This window comes from Homo sapiens, chromosome 18 (genome assembly GCF_000001405.40).
Source record: "Homo sapiens chromosome 18, GRCh38.p14 Primary Assembly".
In the NCBI taxonomy this organism is placed as follows: Eukaryota; Metazoa; Chordata; class Mammalia; order Primates; family Hominidae; genus Homo; species Homo sapiens.
Genome location: NC_000018.10, coordinates 77,066,439 through 77,080,696, shown reverse-complemented (window position 1 = coordinate 77,080,696; position 14,258 = coordinate 77,066,439). Strand labels below are relative to the sequence as shown.

Sequence of the window (14,258 nt, the reverse complement as noted above, 5' to 3'; positions counted from 1 at the left end):
AAATAAATAATAAATAAAATATAAAAAGTGTGTTTATGAAAACTGTGATGCCACCAAGTATACTAGGAAATGGATTGGCAGCTTTCACTTCCTCTCTAGTACTCCTGTGTCTAGACCAAGGGCCGTTAATGAGGTGTGATTTGCCCCTACGGGACATCTGCCAATGCCTGCAGACGGTCTGGTTGTCAACGCAGGGTATGCTACCAGCATCTAGTGGGTGGAGGCCAAACACCCCGCCACGCAGGGCAGCCTCTGCCTCACAACAAACAATCATCCACCCCAGATGCCAGCAGGGCCCCAGGTGAGGAGCCCAGTGTGGCTGGGACAGCCTCCGGGCTGCCCTCAAGCCTTACCGTCCGCATCCTGTTCTGATTCTGCAGAGAAAGGGGATGCCTTTGAAATGAGCCTGTTTGTGCAATTCTTATTTTCATTTTCCTTCATATTCTGTCCTCTGCTCCTAAAAGCTTTCCGTGTTTTACTAGCATCTTTTATTACTTATGGAAATCCAGTCTAGAGCAAGAATAAAACTATGATTTTTTTTTAAAGAAACAAAAAATGCTGACCAATAAGTTTGCAAGGTTATAAGAACTATTTTTATGACAGCACACACACAGTTTATTCCTGGGCTGATACTTCAGTTCTTAAAGGATTTCAAATACAGTTTATCACCAGATTTAGGTTTAAAAAACATGCGTTTTTTTCCATCCACATAAAATACTAGTAGACTTGATTCTCGCTTCTTGCACTCTAGTTGGTGAAGAACCGTTCAATCCCGGAGAGAGTTGCAGTACCGGTTGCTGTAAGGTGCTTCTCCTCCCCTATTCTGAGATTTAATTGAAGAACAGTGACATATGAATTTAAACTAAATTGTATATACAACCAACCCACACAGAACCTGAATTTATTCTGAGTGTGGAAGGAATATTTGCTTCTTAAAAAGAGAACTAGAGAAAGCGAGAGAGAGAATTTACCTTTGAGAGATAAAGAAATCAAGGAAGTTTTTAATATTCCTAAATGAAGGAATAGGAATAATATTTATTATTTATAGGAATAAGAATAATATTGCAGAACTGAAATATCAGCAAGCAAATAAACTGTGTGTGTGCTATTATAATATTTATTATTCTTCTTCCTGCTTACCTCTGAAGAGATACAGATAGCCAATTAGCACATGAAAATATGCGCAATCTCATTACCCAGTAAGGAAATGCAAAGTGAGAGAATTTACCTTTGAGAGATTCCATAATTCTCCCTAAACATTGTATGTCCTGGTGAGAAACTGACTTGTTCTATTTATCTCCAAACCTACATGTTTGAGCTTTGCCCTAAGCCCTGCTCCCCCACAGTGGCCGTGGCCATGGGTGGTACTGCCCAGTGCCCGCCAGGTGCCACTGCCTGCCTGGGCACTGCCATCTGCCCATCAGGGTTAAGAGCTCAGCGTCCCTCCAACCTTAGTGTACCAGGTGGCTGCTCTTGGGTGATGTCCTCTTCTCAGAGAAATAGTCCTAGGCCTGCTACCCCTGGTCCGAAAGACCCTTTACCAGCCACTCTGAGCACGTTGGAACCGTCTCCTTCTTTCTGCCAACTCTGCAGCCTTGAGGCTGGGGACTCAAAGGGTTGGTCGTTTGTCAGGGCTGGGGATGATGTGCCCTCCTGTGGGACACTCCTGCTTTCAAGTCTCCTCTCCTGCTGGGCTCAGTGATGGCTGAGCGCCTGACTCATCCCTGGGCTCATGGAGCCACAGTCTTGGGAGGGTGCTGGGCAGGAGTGCCCAGGGCACAGCCAGGCTCCTGGAGTCCCAGTGCTGAGCCCGCCTGGGGCTCCCAGCTCCACTGGGTCACAGGCAGGGACCAGAGCACAGGATTGGGGCATCCTCATTGGTGGAGTCCACCCGACCCCAGGGGCAGCCCCTGCCAGCCAAGACAGGAGAGAGGAGCAGAGCCCCAGCACAGGGCACGGGATGGAACTCACCTGTCAGGAATGTGCCCCCACTCTGCGGATCTGCTCTCTCCAACTCTGGAGTTGCTCTTCAGTCCACAGCTCAAGTCCTCATGTGACAACTTCCAGAGAAATGAGTTCTCCAGGCTCCAGCCATATCCTCATGGGAAGACGGCTTCGAATTTCCTGATTCTGGCTGAACGCAAAGATAGTGAGAGCAGTAAACAACTTTATGGGATCTTCTGCTGGAGCTGGAGCTGATGAGCAGTTTTTGACATGAACCTTCTTTCTACTCCCTTCTCCAGAAGTTGTCACAGGAGGACTTACGGGAAGGGCTGAAGAGCAGCTTCAGAATATTAAAAACTTCCTTCATTCCTGGGAATTGGGTAATCAGACAGCAAGAAACCTGGGAGAGCGGGTGGTAGAATGACAGGGAGGGAACGTGGCGGTTGAAAGTGGAGGTAGGAAGGTAGACAAAAAGCAGCTTTCAGCCCCTCGGAAGATGCCGTTTGCCATGTGGCTGTGTTGCTTTATGACCTGGAAAGTGACTCACACAGCATGAGCGCATCTCCTGAACACGTAAGATGTTGAGACACATCACAAGACAGATGAGAGGGTTTGAGGGTTGGTTTGGGATTAGCCATGAAAATGCATCTTCCACTGTTAGAGCAGGTGACTGTCCTTCAGCTGCTGGGGCTGGGAGATAAGGAGGCCCATGGCGGGCACGTGGGTCTGCAGTCAGCCCTCCCTGGAGAGGCCGGGGCAGGGGGGTGCAGCTCTCGGGAGGATGGCCCGGGGATAATCCCTCCACAGGGATGGTTCCATTACCTGTCTCTTGACCTCAGTCTAGAAATTGGCAAATATAAGACCTGCACTCTCCCCGAATTAAAATAGCAATCCTCCCTTGGTGATCCTGGTTAAGTTTAGATTCTATAATGTGCCTTATTTTCCAAAGAAAATTGTTAGTTTTGTGACATGTTTTTCTGGGATTACCCTAATGAGTAGTTCCGAGTCCTAACTGTGCTGAGAGTCACCTGTGAGAGTGTAGACCAGGAAGCAAGAATCTCGTGGGTGCAGGACAGCTCTGCAGGCCCTTCTGAGGCCACCGCCCCGGGCCGGCCCAGCATCGAGGAGTCACGGACTTAAATCCCTCAGCAAAACCCAGTCCAAGCAAGGACCCTGCCCCACCACAGGGCTATGCTGTGTCTTTTCTTTAACAGGTGTCTAGAGTTATTTGCCTTGTCATCTACCCAGACATTTTGGGGAAATGGTTTAGAATGCAGTGAGGGCCTGGGAGTCACCTAGTGTAGGTGCCAGCCTTGGACACTAGTTTGCAGGGGAAAGTATTTTCAGAAGAAGGATCAAGAAAAGAATTGTTTTAATTTTTTTTTTTTTTTTTTTGCGACGGAGTCTCACTCTTGTTGCCCTGGCTGGAGTGCAGCCTGCAGTGCTCACTGCAACCTCCGCTTCCCAGGTTCAAGCAATTCTCCTGCCTCAGCCTCCCGAGTAGCCAGGATTACAGGTGCCCACCACCACGCCCAGCTAATTTTTTGTATTTTTAGTAGTGACAGGGTTTCACCATGTTGGCCAGGCTGGTCTTGAACTCCTGACCTCGGGTGATCCTCCCGCCTCAACCTCCCAAAGTGCTGGGATTACAGGTATGAGCCACCACACCTGGCCTGTTTTATTTTAATTTTATACCAAACACACGGCACTAATTCTGTGCCAGGCACTTTATAAATATTAACTCTCTTCATCTTCCTGATAACAATAAGAGGTACTATTATTCTCACTCTTGTACAAACAAGGAAACAGAGGCACAGAGACACTAAGCCACTTGCCCTTGATCGCAAAGCTATTAAGGGTGGGGTTGGGATTGGTGCCTCGGCGCCTGGCTCCAGAATGCTCTCAGCACTGGTCCCTGTGGTCTGGGAGCTTGAGCTTCTCCTGGTGGTTTTCGTGCCTACTTGCTGGAATCAGGTGTGTGTTTAACCTCATACTCAAAAGTTTATGTGAGTGGCCCTTTTTTCAAGAATCATTGAACATGTTTTTAACTTGAGTGGTCACCAATATATTTAATAACTGCTCTGTGGAAGGTCAGGAAGAGTGGAAGGACATGAAACAGCCGCTGGCACAGTCGTTCCTGCTTTGCATTGCTACAGAACAAATGATTCCAAACCTCAGCACTGAAGCAGCAGCAGCTTCATTAGGTCTCAGGATTTTGTGAGCTGGAATTCAGGCAGGACTCAGCAGCGACGGTGCCGCCTCGATGCTCTCAGAGGGCAGCTGAGGCCTTGGCATGGCCCAAGCCCTCTGCAGGTGCAGCTGGGCCAGGGGAAGCTGCTGAAAAACTGCCCTACTGGGCTCCCCTCTCCATGTGGCCTCAGAGCCTCCCCAGGTGGACTCCCCTGTGGGGCACTCAAACGGCCCACCTGTTGACTCAAGAGGCCACGGTGGAAGTGGCTGGTCCTCATCAAGGTCAGGCCAAGTGCCAGCATAGTGCCAAACCCACCCCACTGTGTTAGCAGGACCACCAGCGCCAGTCCAATTCCAGGAAAGGGAAACGGGCTCACTTCTCCGTGGGACAAGTGTCCAAACCCAGCAGCCCTCTTTCATGCATCACACTGAGAGGCAGGCAGTGGATTCTGAATCACAGGCTGTCAGTTGAATAGCATAAACCGTCACTGCCATTCCGTAACTCACACTCACAGTGCTCTTTGATTTATTCGAATCAAAGTTTGAGATTGCGAAGGTTCATGATAAATGTAATCGAATCCCTCCATATGCATTAAGGTATGATATTCAGATCAGCATTTTATGCCCGTTGCCTCCAGAGGCCAACAGTCCCCTGAGACCAGCAAGGGCCTAATAGTAATGTTCACCCCACAATTTGCAGCCTAATAGTATAATGCCTAGTTTCATTTCCACTCTTAGCCTAATCTCTTCCATTGGATTTTAATATTGTTTTATATGGAAGTCCCCATTAGTGCGGTGTGCACATTTTTATGGCTGACTGGCTCCTGTGCATTGAAAAGCACCTGTTCTGAGGACGTTAAACAGAGCTCTTCCATGTGGGCATTCAAGATGAGTTCACGCGGGTCTTCAATAGAAACCATTTTGTCCCTAAGCAAAACATCATCATGTTTCAGCAGTTTTCTTCTCTCTGCTATAGTCAAAGAGGGGCTTGCATATCAAAATCAGATGGCTGCACCCTCAACCCCATCCTCTCCCCCACCCTGGGAGCTTCAGCGCCACTCCACCTTCAGCCCGCTGCTCCTGGAGGGGACAGAGGACCCACCTTCTCGCTGCCGTCTGGACGTGTCAGGCGTTCTCTAGGCCAGCAATGTGTGTGATGGGCGTTTTGATGGATGGCTAAATGTATTACACATTTCATTATACTTTTAAGAGGAGTAAGAGTGTTTTCTCTTATCAATTCCATTTTAATGTTAGCTATAACAAAAACATAGTTTAATGGTTTGTGCAAAAATTCACTCATTTTGCTCAAAGGTAATTAATAAATGCACCCTATTTGATGCAGAAACTGCATCTCCAGAAAGTGATTCCATCCCTGGGAGAAGCTTCCAGACAAAAAGGGCAAGAGAGTAGATACTTCAGTGATTCCACCTGCCGTGACAGAAGCCCTTTCTCCTCCATTCTGGATCTTGGAGAGGAGGGATTGAGATCTCAGAAGCTCTATCAGATAGGCTTTTATTTATTTAGAGGTTTGTTTTTCCTGCAGTATCCTCTTTAAACACCCACAGTTTTTTTAAATCCAAGATAGTATTGCCTAGAACATGTGGATAATGTAAACATGATCTAGTAAACTGATTACAGGTAAATTAAAACTTTTGTCTGTAATTTTCTATTTAGTTGCTGTGATCTTTACATGAATGTTTCTTACTGGCTGTTCATTTGCACTGCATATTAGACAGAGACCACCTAGGCAGGCACTGCCAGTGGTGCCAATGGTACTCCAACAGTTATGCAATTATAAGGGCGTTCTGCACTGAACTGAGGTTGAGGAATGCAGGCTGTGTCTGGGAATCGATTTCCCATGAAATCGTGGACTTTGGTTCCGCCCCAGCTGTGCCTGGCTTCCCTTTCCTTCCCACAGTGGCCCCCATTTGTTTTCCTTTGACCCCACCACTCTCGCCATGTTCCCCGAGCATCTCCTCCTCCCAGGCCTGGATGGGGGCCAGACACTGAAGCCTAGTTCTCCTTGTAGCTTGCTGCCAAATTCTTATGGCCTTTCCATATCACAGGCTTATAGTCCTGTTGTCTTGACCAAAGAAAAAGAATCCTACGAAAGTGTGATACATATGACCTCAACCCTGAAGTCTCTGACTCCCTTGGAGAAGTTAACTTAGAAATCTATCCATTTCCCTTGAGACCCAGGCTCACTGAACCCCCTTGAGACCCGGGCTCACTGAACCCCCTTGAGACCGGGGCTCACTGAACCCCCTTGGGGAGACCCGGGCTCACTGAACCCATTGTCTTCTGACCCCACCATCAGCACAAGTCTCATGGCCCTTTCCAGAAGCAGCTAAGCCTAAAAGTGGGAGAAACAGAAAAATTGAAGCCCCCACGTGGGCACTGTCTACCTCCAAGGACCCCCAGACTGAGGGGCTGCGAAATCCTCAGACCTGTGTTCAGATCAGAAGCAACCCTTTCTGTGCATTTGCCCAAGGTTTCAGTCTCATCTCTGAGCTAAGGACCCTGTGAGTGTGCACAAGTCAGCATCACTACTCCTGGCCTTAGTGGTGAGAAGAGTGGTTGGGCTGGTCTCTAAAGTCTTTCTAATTGTGAAAGTCTATCTCATTTCGTTTCCGATAAGTACATCTAAAGTAACAGATATCATGGTGATCTTTTAGCTTGAGAATAAAATGTGTGAAGTTGGGTTTGGCTGTGAACTGGCGGAAGGCAAGAGAATACACCCATCGAGCTGGCTGAAGAGCAGTTGTTAGTTTTCAGCAGGTCACCTCTTACATAACCAGTTGCTGGGAGATAACCTTCCACAGGTCTGCATGTCCTGCAAGCCAGGCAGGATCCACCCGTATTCTGGACTATTTTTTCCAGGATGTTTACATAATGAACAGGCTAGGAAGATAGAGAGAGTGTCTATCTGCAGCAAATAACAGGTCTTGGGAGATATAGTGTCTCCCTGCGGAGCAGGGCACTGGCGTAGCTACTGACAGTTCTAAAGGATTCAGGTTTCCTAGATGGGCATTCCTCTCCTGCCACTCAACCCACTGCATGCAGACAGCCACCTGGGCCCATTCGCATGGCTCCTGTGTGAACTGGGTATTAGGGAACTCATGTCAAAATGGTGAAATGTTGCTACTGCTGTGAATAATAACCCACCCTTTGTCTCTGACCCAGGAATCTCATTCCTTCATGAGCATCCACAAAACTTAGCTTTCGGGTAGATAAAATCTCAAATGTGCCACTGTTCTTAACATGAGCCTAGTGTTGACCCTCTTTGTAAAACTAGATGATGCTGAAATTCCTTTTATAATCTAGTCTTTTTATATATATACATATAAAATACTTATAAAAATTTAAAGAGAGCAAAAATATGTAAGATGAAAAATAAGCCAGTTAACCTCTACCTGATATCTTTGACTTTCTGGATTGGAAATGAAATTTGCTGAACAGATGCTGGATCCTGACAAAGTATTTGGAAGTATTCATTGTCAACTAAAGTTTCATTAGAAATCCTAGAAATCTCTGGTGTGGATTAATTGGAGAGGAATCTAAGACAGGGCAATGGCAGTGGGCGAAGATTCAGAAAGAACACGTTGCTGCCAGCAAGGAGGGTTGACCATTGCTGACAATGGCTGAACAGGCCAGGCGTCCTAAAAGCAGTGAGCTTTCCTCCAGAGAAATGTGCCATTTGCAGTCCTCATAATGATGCCGCAAGATGGGGACCACTGTCCTCCTGGGGATACTGAGGTGGAGGGAGCTTGACTCGCTTAAGATCTCACTTTGAGTAACTGCGCTGCGGGCGGCACTACATCCCACTGTTTCTGCTGCCACACCAGGAGTCCTGGGCCAGAGCCCCTGAGAAGTGGCTTTGATGGTTCTGAGAAAAAATAAGGGCTTATTCTGATAACAGTGTGAAGCTAAGATGCTACTGATCTGCATTTTCAATAGTTTTGTGTGCTTCTGCAAAGAGCAGTTTCCACTTATTGAATGCTCTTCACGATGACCACATAGAAAAGTATGATTATAATGTTCATTTTAAAGCTGAGCAAACAGGTACAGAAAACTCAGTTATTTTCCCTGTTACCCAGGCAATCAGCTTCAGAGAGCCCGAGGTCTTGGCTGTCATGCGAATAATGATTTTGATACGACGTACATGTGTTGCAGATCCTGATGCCCCCAAACTATTTTCTGCAAATATCTGGGTGAATTAGATCTGTCTACGGCAGGGAATATGGCAGAAGGTAAAGAAAACTTAAAGAAATATCTGCCTTTTAGTAGCATCCCCTCTGAAATGACCTAAGGCTCAAAATATGTGTGGTGCTGTGAGAAACACCAGGCCATATTCAGATTTGTGCATAGAAATGAGATAAGAATTATGAGGCAGGAGGGGAGGGGAGGCGGAGGGGTGTGTACGCCGGCAGGATCCTGAGCCTTCAAAGGCCAAGCAGCTGGCATGTAGGTGCCACATATGACTGTGTCGCCTGTGACGTCATAGGAAGCTTCAGCTGGGCTTTTTTGTTTGTTTTGTTTTTTAAATAAGGTCAGTCGAGTATAAGATTCAGAAGGGGGAAGACAGTTGCAACTTCTCTTGTTAAACATCCTAGGAATTTTAGAAATATGAATCACTGTAATTTTTCTTCTGGGAAATCTCAGAAAAAATAAACACGGTGCACTTCCTACGCCATTGACACTCTCCAGTGTGATGGACAGGGCTTGGCTCACCGAGTTTAATTGGACAGTCGCCATCTGACATTCTGGGCTTGCTTCTCTAGCTTTATTTTTGAAGCACCCAATTTGGCTTCCTACCTTATTTTCTTTGTATGCTCAGCTCCTGAGCAGGGTTTGGTGCAAGCATGGGTGGGAACAAGTGGGTGAGTGGCAAGGTACTGAGGATGCAGAACCAGACAAGACTTTTATCTGCTTCCAGGCCAGTGATTCTCCACTCAAGGCTTCAAGTGTCCAAGGAGAGAATACAGTCATGGATTCTTAGTTTCTGTCCCTGGTTGGGTCAGTAAAGACCCTTCCTCATCTTTCTGTTCTGGTTATCACTAGAGACAGAAACTAAAAACCATGGCTTCAGGTTGCTAAAAGCCTAAAACAAAACAAAACAGAAGAGCAACAACAAAATAAGATGGGCTGGACAAGCTTAGGACATCTCCTAATGCAGCATTTTTTAAGGGAAATGCAGCATTTTTTAAGGGATTGAAAAATTCTCAAAATCAACTCTTACATGTGTTGAATACAGCAGCCTGTGGTGGACCATGACTCCGAGTCTAACATACAACTGGTTTTGCAGGTGAGAGTCACTTTGTAACATGTTTCAACACCTTCCTCTCCTGATAAGCAGTTTCTAGTCTGAATCAGGACTTTAAGAATATGCTGTATAATGTTTGTACCAATACGAAGCAAGTGTTTTCCTCTCTCACAGCCTTTTTTGTGATGATTAGAAACTTACCCTCTGGGCCATTCCTCCTGAAATTGCCACCTCCAGACCACCAATCTTTTAAAAATGTAAGGCTAATTATAAGCGTATTTTCACCTACAATGTGCGTGTGCGTGTGTGCCATGTGTGCACGTACATGAATAGCTGTACCAGGTAGGAGATCTCTCACACTTGGCTGGACACTCCAGCTACGCGGGAACAAGCACCTGAGCGGGGTCCTCAAAACCAACCAGGATTCCGCCCGCCGACGTCCTGGCTGTGACTGGCTTTGGGAAGTTTGACTCCATGCCATCCTTTGCTTCTCCACTCGGTTCTGATGAAGAAAACTGAATTGCGCTTCCACAATTCAGTGGCGGGAGAGGGTGGACCTCTCGAGTTCCCAGGGCCCCTCCTGTCACCTGCCCCAGAGCCCCGTGCAGGGCCACACTGACCCCCAGGGAAAGCTTGACACTTAAGGGTTAGAGGTCAAGGCTGGGTAGAGGGTTTTTAGTTTTTGTGTTTTTACACACAGAGAAAATGAGACTAATCACTGGTTTATAATAGATCAGGAGACTATCATTTCTTTTGTTCCAAAAAAATACACTTTTTTCTCTGTCATCTTTCACCATACGTGGTAATGTCCCGAGCTGTTTGTGCTCCTTACGATATAGGGGAATGTGTTCCCTTCCTGGGGCTTCTGCAGCAAATTCCCACACACCTTCTAAAATTGTTATGGATAAGAAACAGATTCTTACATAGGTCAGCTCCCACATATTTAGGCTGATGAAAAAGAAAATTGCTACAAATAGTATGAAGGAGGCACCCTTGCTTGAAATGCGTGTCGACACGTGCAGTCACAGGTTCCGTTTGGACTCAGATTTGGACTCTTTTGGGCAATGACGCAGGGAGGGCCTGAGCTGCCAGGACCCATCCCCTCTCGTAAGTCTGAGCCCCGTCTGCAGGAAGCTCTTGTTTTATCATCACGAAAATCACCTCACTTTTGACACATCATCTGCATTATTTGTTTTGCGAGTAGACCTTTTGCTTACAGGAAATGTGTTCATCATAGGGGAATATTTTATATTTTTGGAATAGCAATATCGGGTCTCAAAAACAAACCTTATATTTGAGTAGAAATTAGTCATGAAATTTCCCAGGCCCGTATGTACTTTCTGCACGCGTCCTGTGTCCCTGTATGACCTAGAGATGTTGAACCATCAGAGAACTGAGTTGAGAAGGTGGAGAAAAAGGCGGATTTGGAGTCCTGTCTGCCATCACTATTCAGGGTCCACCTGTGGCCGCTTTGGTGTGAGGGATAAACAGAGTGGACGCACCATAGCTGTGGGACCAACGTGTGCACAAGCTGGCGCACAGGACACAAAATTCCTCCTCATGCTTATGCTGCCCCCACCCTCGAAACCAGCCTGGGAAGTGGATACAGGGAAGTGGCTGCCGCTAGGTTATCCCCCGCCACGCACTTAAAGCAAAGTGCTGTGATTTAAAGATCAGCTTTCACTCTGCATCTGAAACGCCTCATTTCTAAGATGCGGCATTGTTCTACTCTCCGGTGAGAAGGGCTTCCCACGCCAATGGGAGGACACTACTGGTCCTAGTGGTGTCCCGCTTGGAGAGACATTAAGCATGAAGAAAATGCATCTATGATCAATAACGACGGTAGCTGAATCGTACTTAATTAGTTCTTAAATAACACTTATTATTTTGTAATTAGTGAAGAATATGATCTCCTATTAGCATAGAAGCAGGATGTAAAAAAATATGACATGAATTCCTAGCTGAGGAAAGACTATCGGGAAATTATTTATTTTCCAAGTTTTAGTGTCTTCTGAAATTAACTGGATAGATATGAAAAGTGTACATAGCCAGCTATCTTTGGCTCCCTCTGCTGAAACAGAAACAATCCATTTTAACTATGTTTAAAAAGCTCTCTCTGGGCGCCAGGCACTGTGCTAGGCCTGAGGGTTGGGAAGGTGTGTAAGGCACTGTTCTTGTTCTCACAGTATTCACCGCATCACAGGGAGGGGAATAAAACAATGGACTGTTCTGGGAGTTTCTGTAATAGAGACACAGGAAAATCCGCAGAAGTCACAGGCTGCTGGGAGCCTGGAAGCCATGGGGGTGAGGTCAGAGGCCCCGAGGTGAGGTCAGAGTCCCCGAGGTGAGGCCCCCAAGGCTCAGCTCCGTGGTGGCGGCTGCTGCTCTTTGTCCTCCCAAAGAGGCTGAGAGTGTTTATTCCAGTCCCAGGAAAGTTTCCCTCCCACCACATCTCTAGCAATGCCAGACATCAGTTTGTTTTCTACTTGTGTTAAAAAGAAATCTCATTTTTGTTTCGCTCTGTATTTCTCTGATTACTAGTGAGTTTGAACATTCTCTGCATTTCATTGCTTATTAGTAACTGTTTCGTGGGACTCTGTGACTCGCAATCTGGAAAGCAGCAGCTTGGTTTCTACAGCGGCCAACCAGCAACAGAAGCCTGGCAGGTGTACACAAAGTTACAACAAATGTGAACACCTTAATTGGCTGCTATTTGTCATTCTAGAATCAGGCAACACCTCTTTCTGCAAAACAGAATGAGTGCTCCAATGAGCCGAGCAGAGGAGGTTGGTTTATAAACAGACTGAGGAAAGCAGACACAGAGAACAAAATGCAGGCGGATGTGTGGTGGTTCCAAGATGACTTCCCCATAAAGGTTAAAGCAGACGGGACTTCCTCGTCATCTGGGCTAAACCTGGCCTGCTTGGAAGTTGGGCTGTTACCTCTCCTGATTGCTCAGAAGGTCAAATAAAGATCTTCATTTGGGCTTGGTACCATACTTCATACGGGGGCGTCTGCTGGGCCCAGTGCAGGAGCTCAGTCCAAACCAGTGTCCTCTTATCAATTTAATTTCACAACGTGAAGGCAAATTCTTCCCTCCTCAATTTTGTGAGTCCAATAACCCGTGTGTTTTTTATCTGTTAATCACACCAGACAGCATTGAATTGTAGAAACAATGCCGTAAACATTGGTTGGTGGGGACCTTACCCACCCATCCCCTCCTGTCTGCCCAGGGATGGGAATGGATACACACACACACAAACACACACACACACACACACACGGGATGGAGGGTTTCCAGATAGGGCTCTTAGTGACCAGGAGGCGGAGTGTAGGGCCCTGGCTGGTGTGAGCTCAGAGGGCTGGACTTCTCTCCAGGAACAAACAGCCTGCAGTACATAAGTGAGTCACACTAGGTCTGAATCAGACTTCAGGGTGGTCTTAATGGCTGTGCCTGCCCCTCTCTCCAGAAGGAAAAGAATGTAAAATTGAGACTATGTACATATTATGGTCCTGGGTTAAAGGCTCCCAGGAAATGAGAGATTGGGTGGAAAATTGGTACAAACTTAAGTGCAGAGACCAGGGTGGGGCGCTGCAGGGAGTGGCACCCGAGAGAAGCAGCCTCCCGGTGCTGCTGGTGGGTAGCACCAGGGCCAGCGCGGCTGCCCACAGCACTGACGCCCGCTCAGTGAAAGCTCCAGTGTGACTCATTCCTCCTCCAGAAATACTCCTTGGCCATGTGCATTCTGAGAAGTGAACAGGAAATTAGTGCAACACGGTTAGGGTTGAAAAACACAAATGTGAACAAGCTGGATGGTGGTTGTGGAGCCTGGTGAGGTGTGAACAGTAACTGAAATGCTAGCGGGCTGTGCAAGCAGTCTGTGCGTGCCGACATGACGTCACCTCCAGGATCCCTCTTTCCCTGGCAAAAGCAAGAAGGAGCATATCATCCACAGTGTGATGCCATTTATGTGAAGACAGAAAGGAGGGAAAAGAATACCCATGTGTCATTGTCTGAAGGTGCCCAGATGATTGTGCAAAGTCTGGAAGGAGCTGGAAATGCCAGCTGCCTCCCAGAAGGGGGCGGGGGGGCATCCAGGAGACCCCGGGGTTTCAGCACGCAGCCACTGTGCACTTTCTAGAGCATTTGAATCATTCAATGTGCAAGTGTGACATTTCAAAATAGTTAAGTAAAATTGATTACAAATATATCAGGAAGCTGAACCATGTCTTCTCTCTGCACTGGTGATCAAACTATGTACTGAAAACTTTAAACTCGAAAAACAAGCTCACACTGCCATTCGGGCCCCAAACGACAGGCAAAGGGAGGCCCAGAGGAGAAACTCTGAAGCCGAAGATTCCCAGAGGAGTGGCCAGGGGGCCTGGCCCACCCCATAACACCACAACAGGCCGCTTCCTCCCCTGGAATGCAAAAGTGCCTCCGGACATCAGCTTCGTTTTCTGTCCCTAAAAGGACTCATTCTCCCATCAAAGTGGTCCTGACTGGTTCCAGTTAGCCAAAGGTGTCATTGGAGGAGTAAGGCCTGGCGTCAGTTCTGCCGCACAGTGTCACTTAGAATCTAAAGCAGTAACTATGTGGGCTCACCCTTGGAATAAATGGGATGGCATGTAGCTAATTTATTTTACCTAGGCTGATATTCCAATTTTTTTGTATAAAACTATACCAACTGGGTCCAGAAAGTGCTTAGGTGCTTAGGCAGAGAAAACAAGCCAGAATTCCGAATCCTGCGCAGAAAACCCTCCTCTGAACCAAGGCTCTATATTCTATCTTGAAAACAGATGTGAAACTGATTATCTGATAAAAAATTTATAAAGAGACAAATGCATTACAATTATTTTG

General features: G+C 46.9%; 1 protein-coding gene across 18 annotated transcripts in view, besides 3 other annotated features; it reads left to right on the top strand.

Moving 5' to 3' along the window:
* MBP (myelin basic protein) overlaps positions 1-14,258 on the top strand; it is a 154,876-nt gene that overhangs the window by 53,012 nt on the left and 87,606 nt on the right. The window lies entirely within an intron of this gene.
* Positions 392-441: an enhancer, noted in NCBI's record as "active region_13524". NCBI's record gives its function as "activates an Ori minimal core promoter by ATAC-STARR-seq in GM12878 lymphoblastoid cells {active_cell/tissue: GM12878}" and the evidence as "EXISTENCE:reporter gene assay evidence [ECO:0000049][PMID:35858748]".
* Positions 10,416-10,595: an enhancer, noted in NCBI's record as "active region_13523". NCBI's record gives its function as "activates an Ori minimal core promoter by ATAC-STARR-seq in GM12878 lymphoblastoid cells {active_cell/tissue: GM12878}" and the evidence as "EXISTENCE:reporter gene assay evidence [ECO:0000049][PMID:35858748]".
* Positions 13,284-13,373: an enhancer, noted in NCBI's record as "active region_13522". NCBI's record gives its function as "activates an Ori minimal core promoter by ATAC-STARR-seq in GM12878 lymphoblastoid cells {active_cell/tissue: GM12878}" and the evidence as "EXISTENCE:reporter gene assay evidence [ECO:0000049][PMID:35858748]".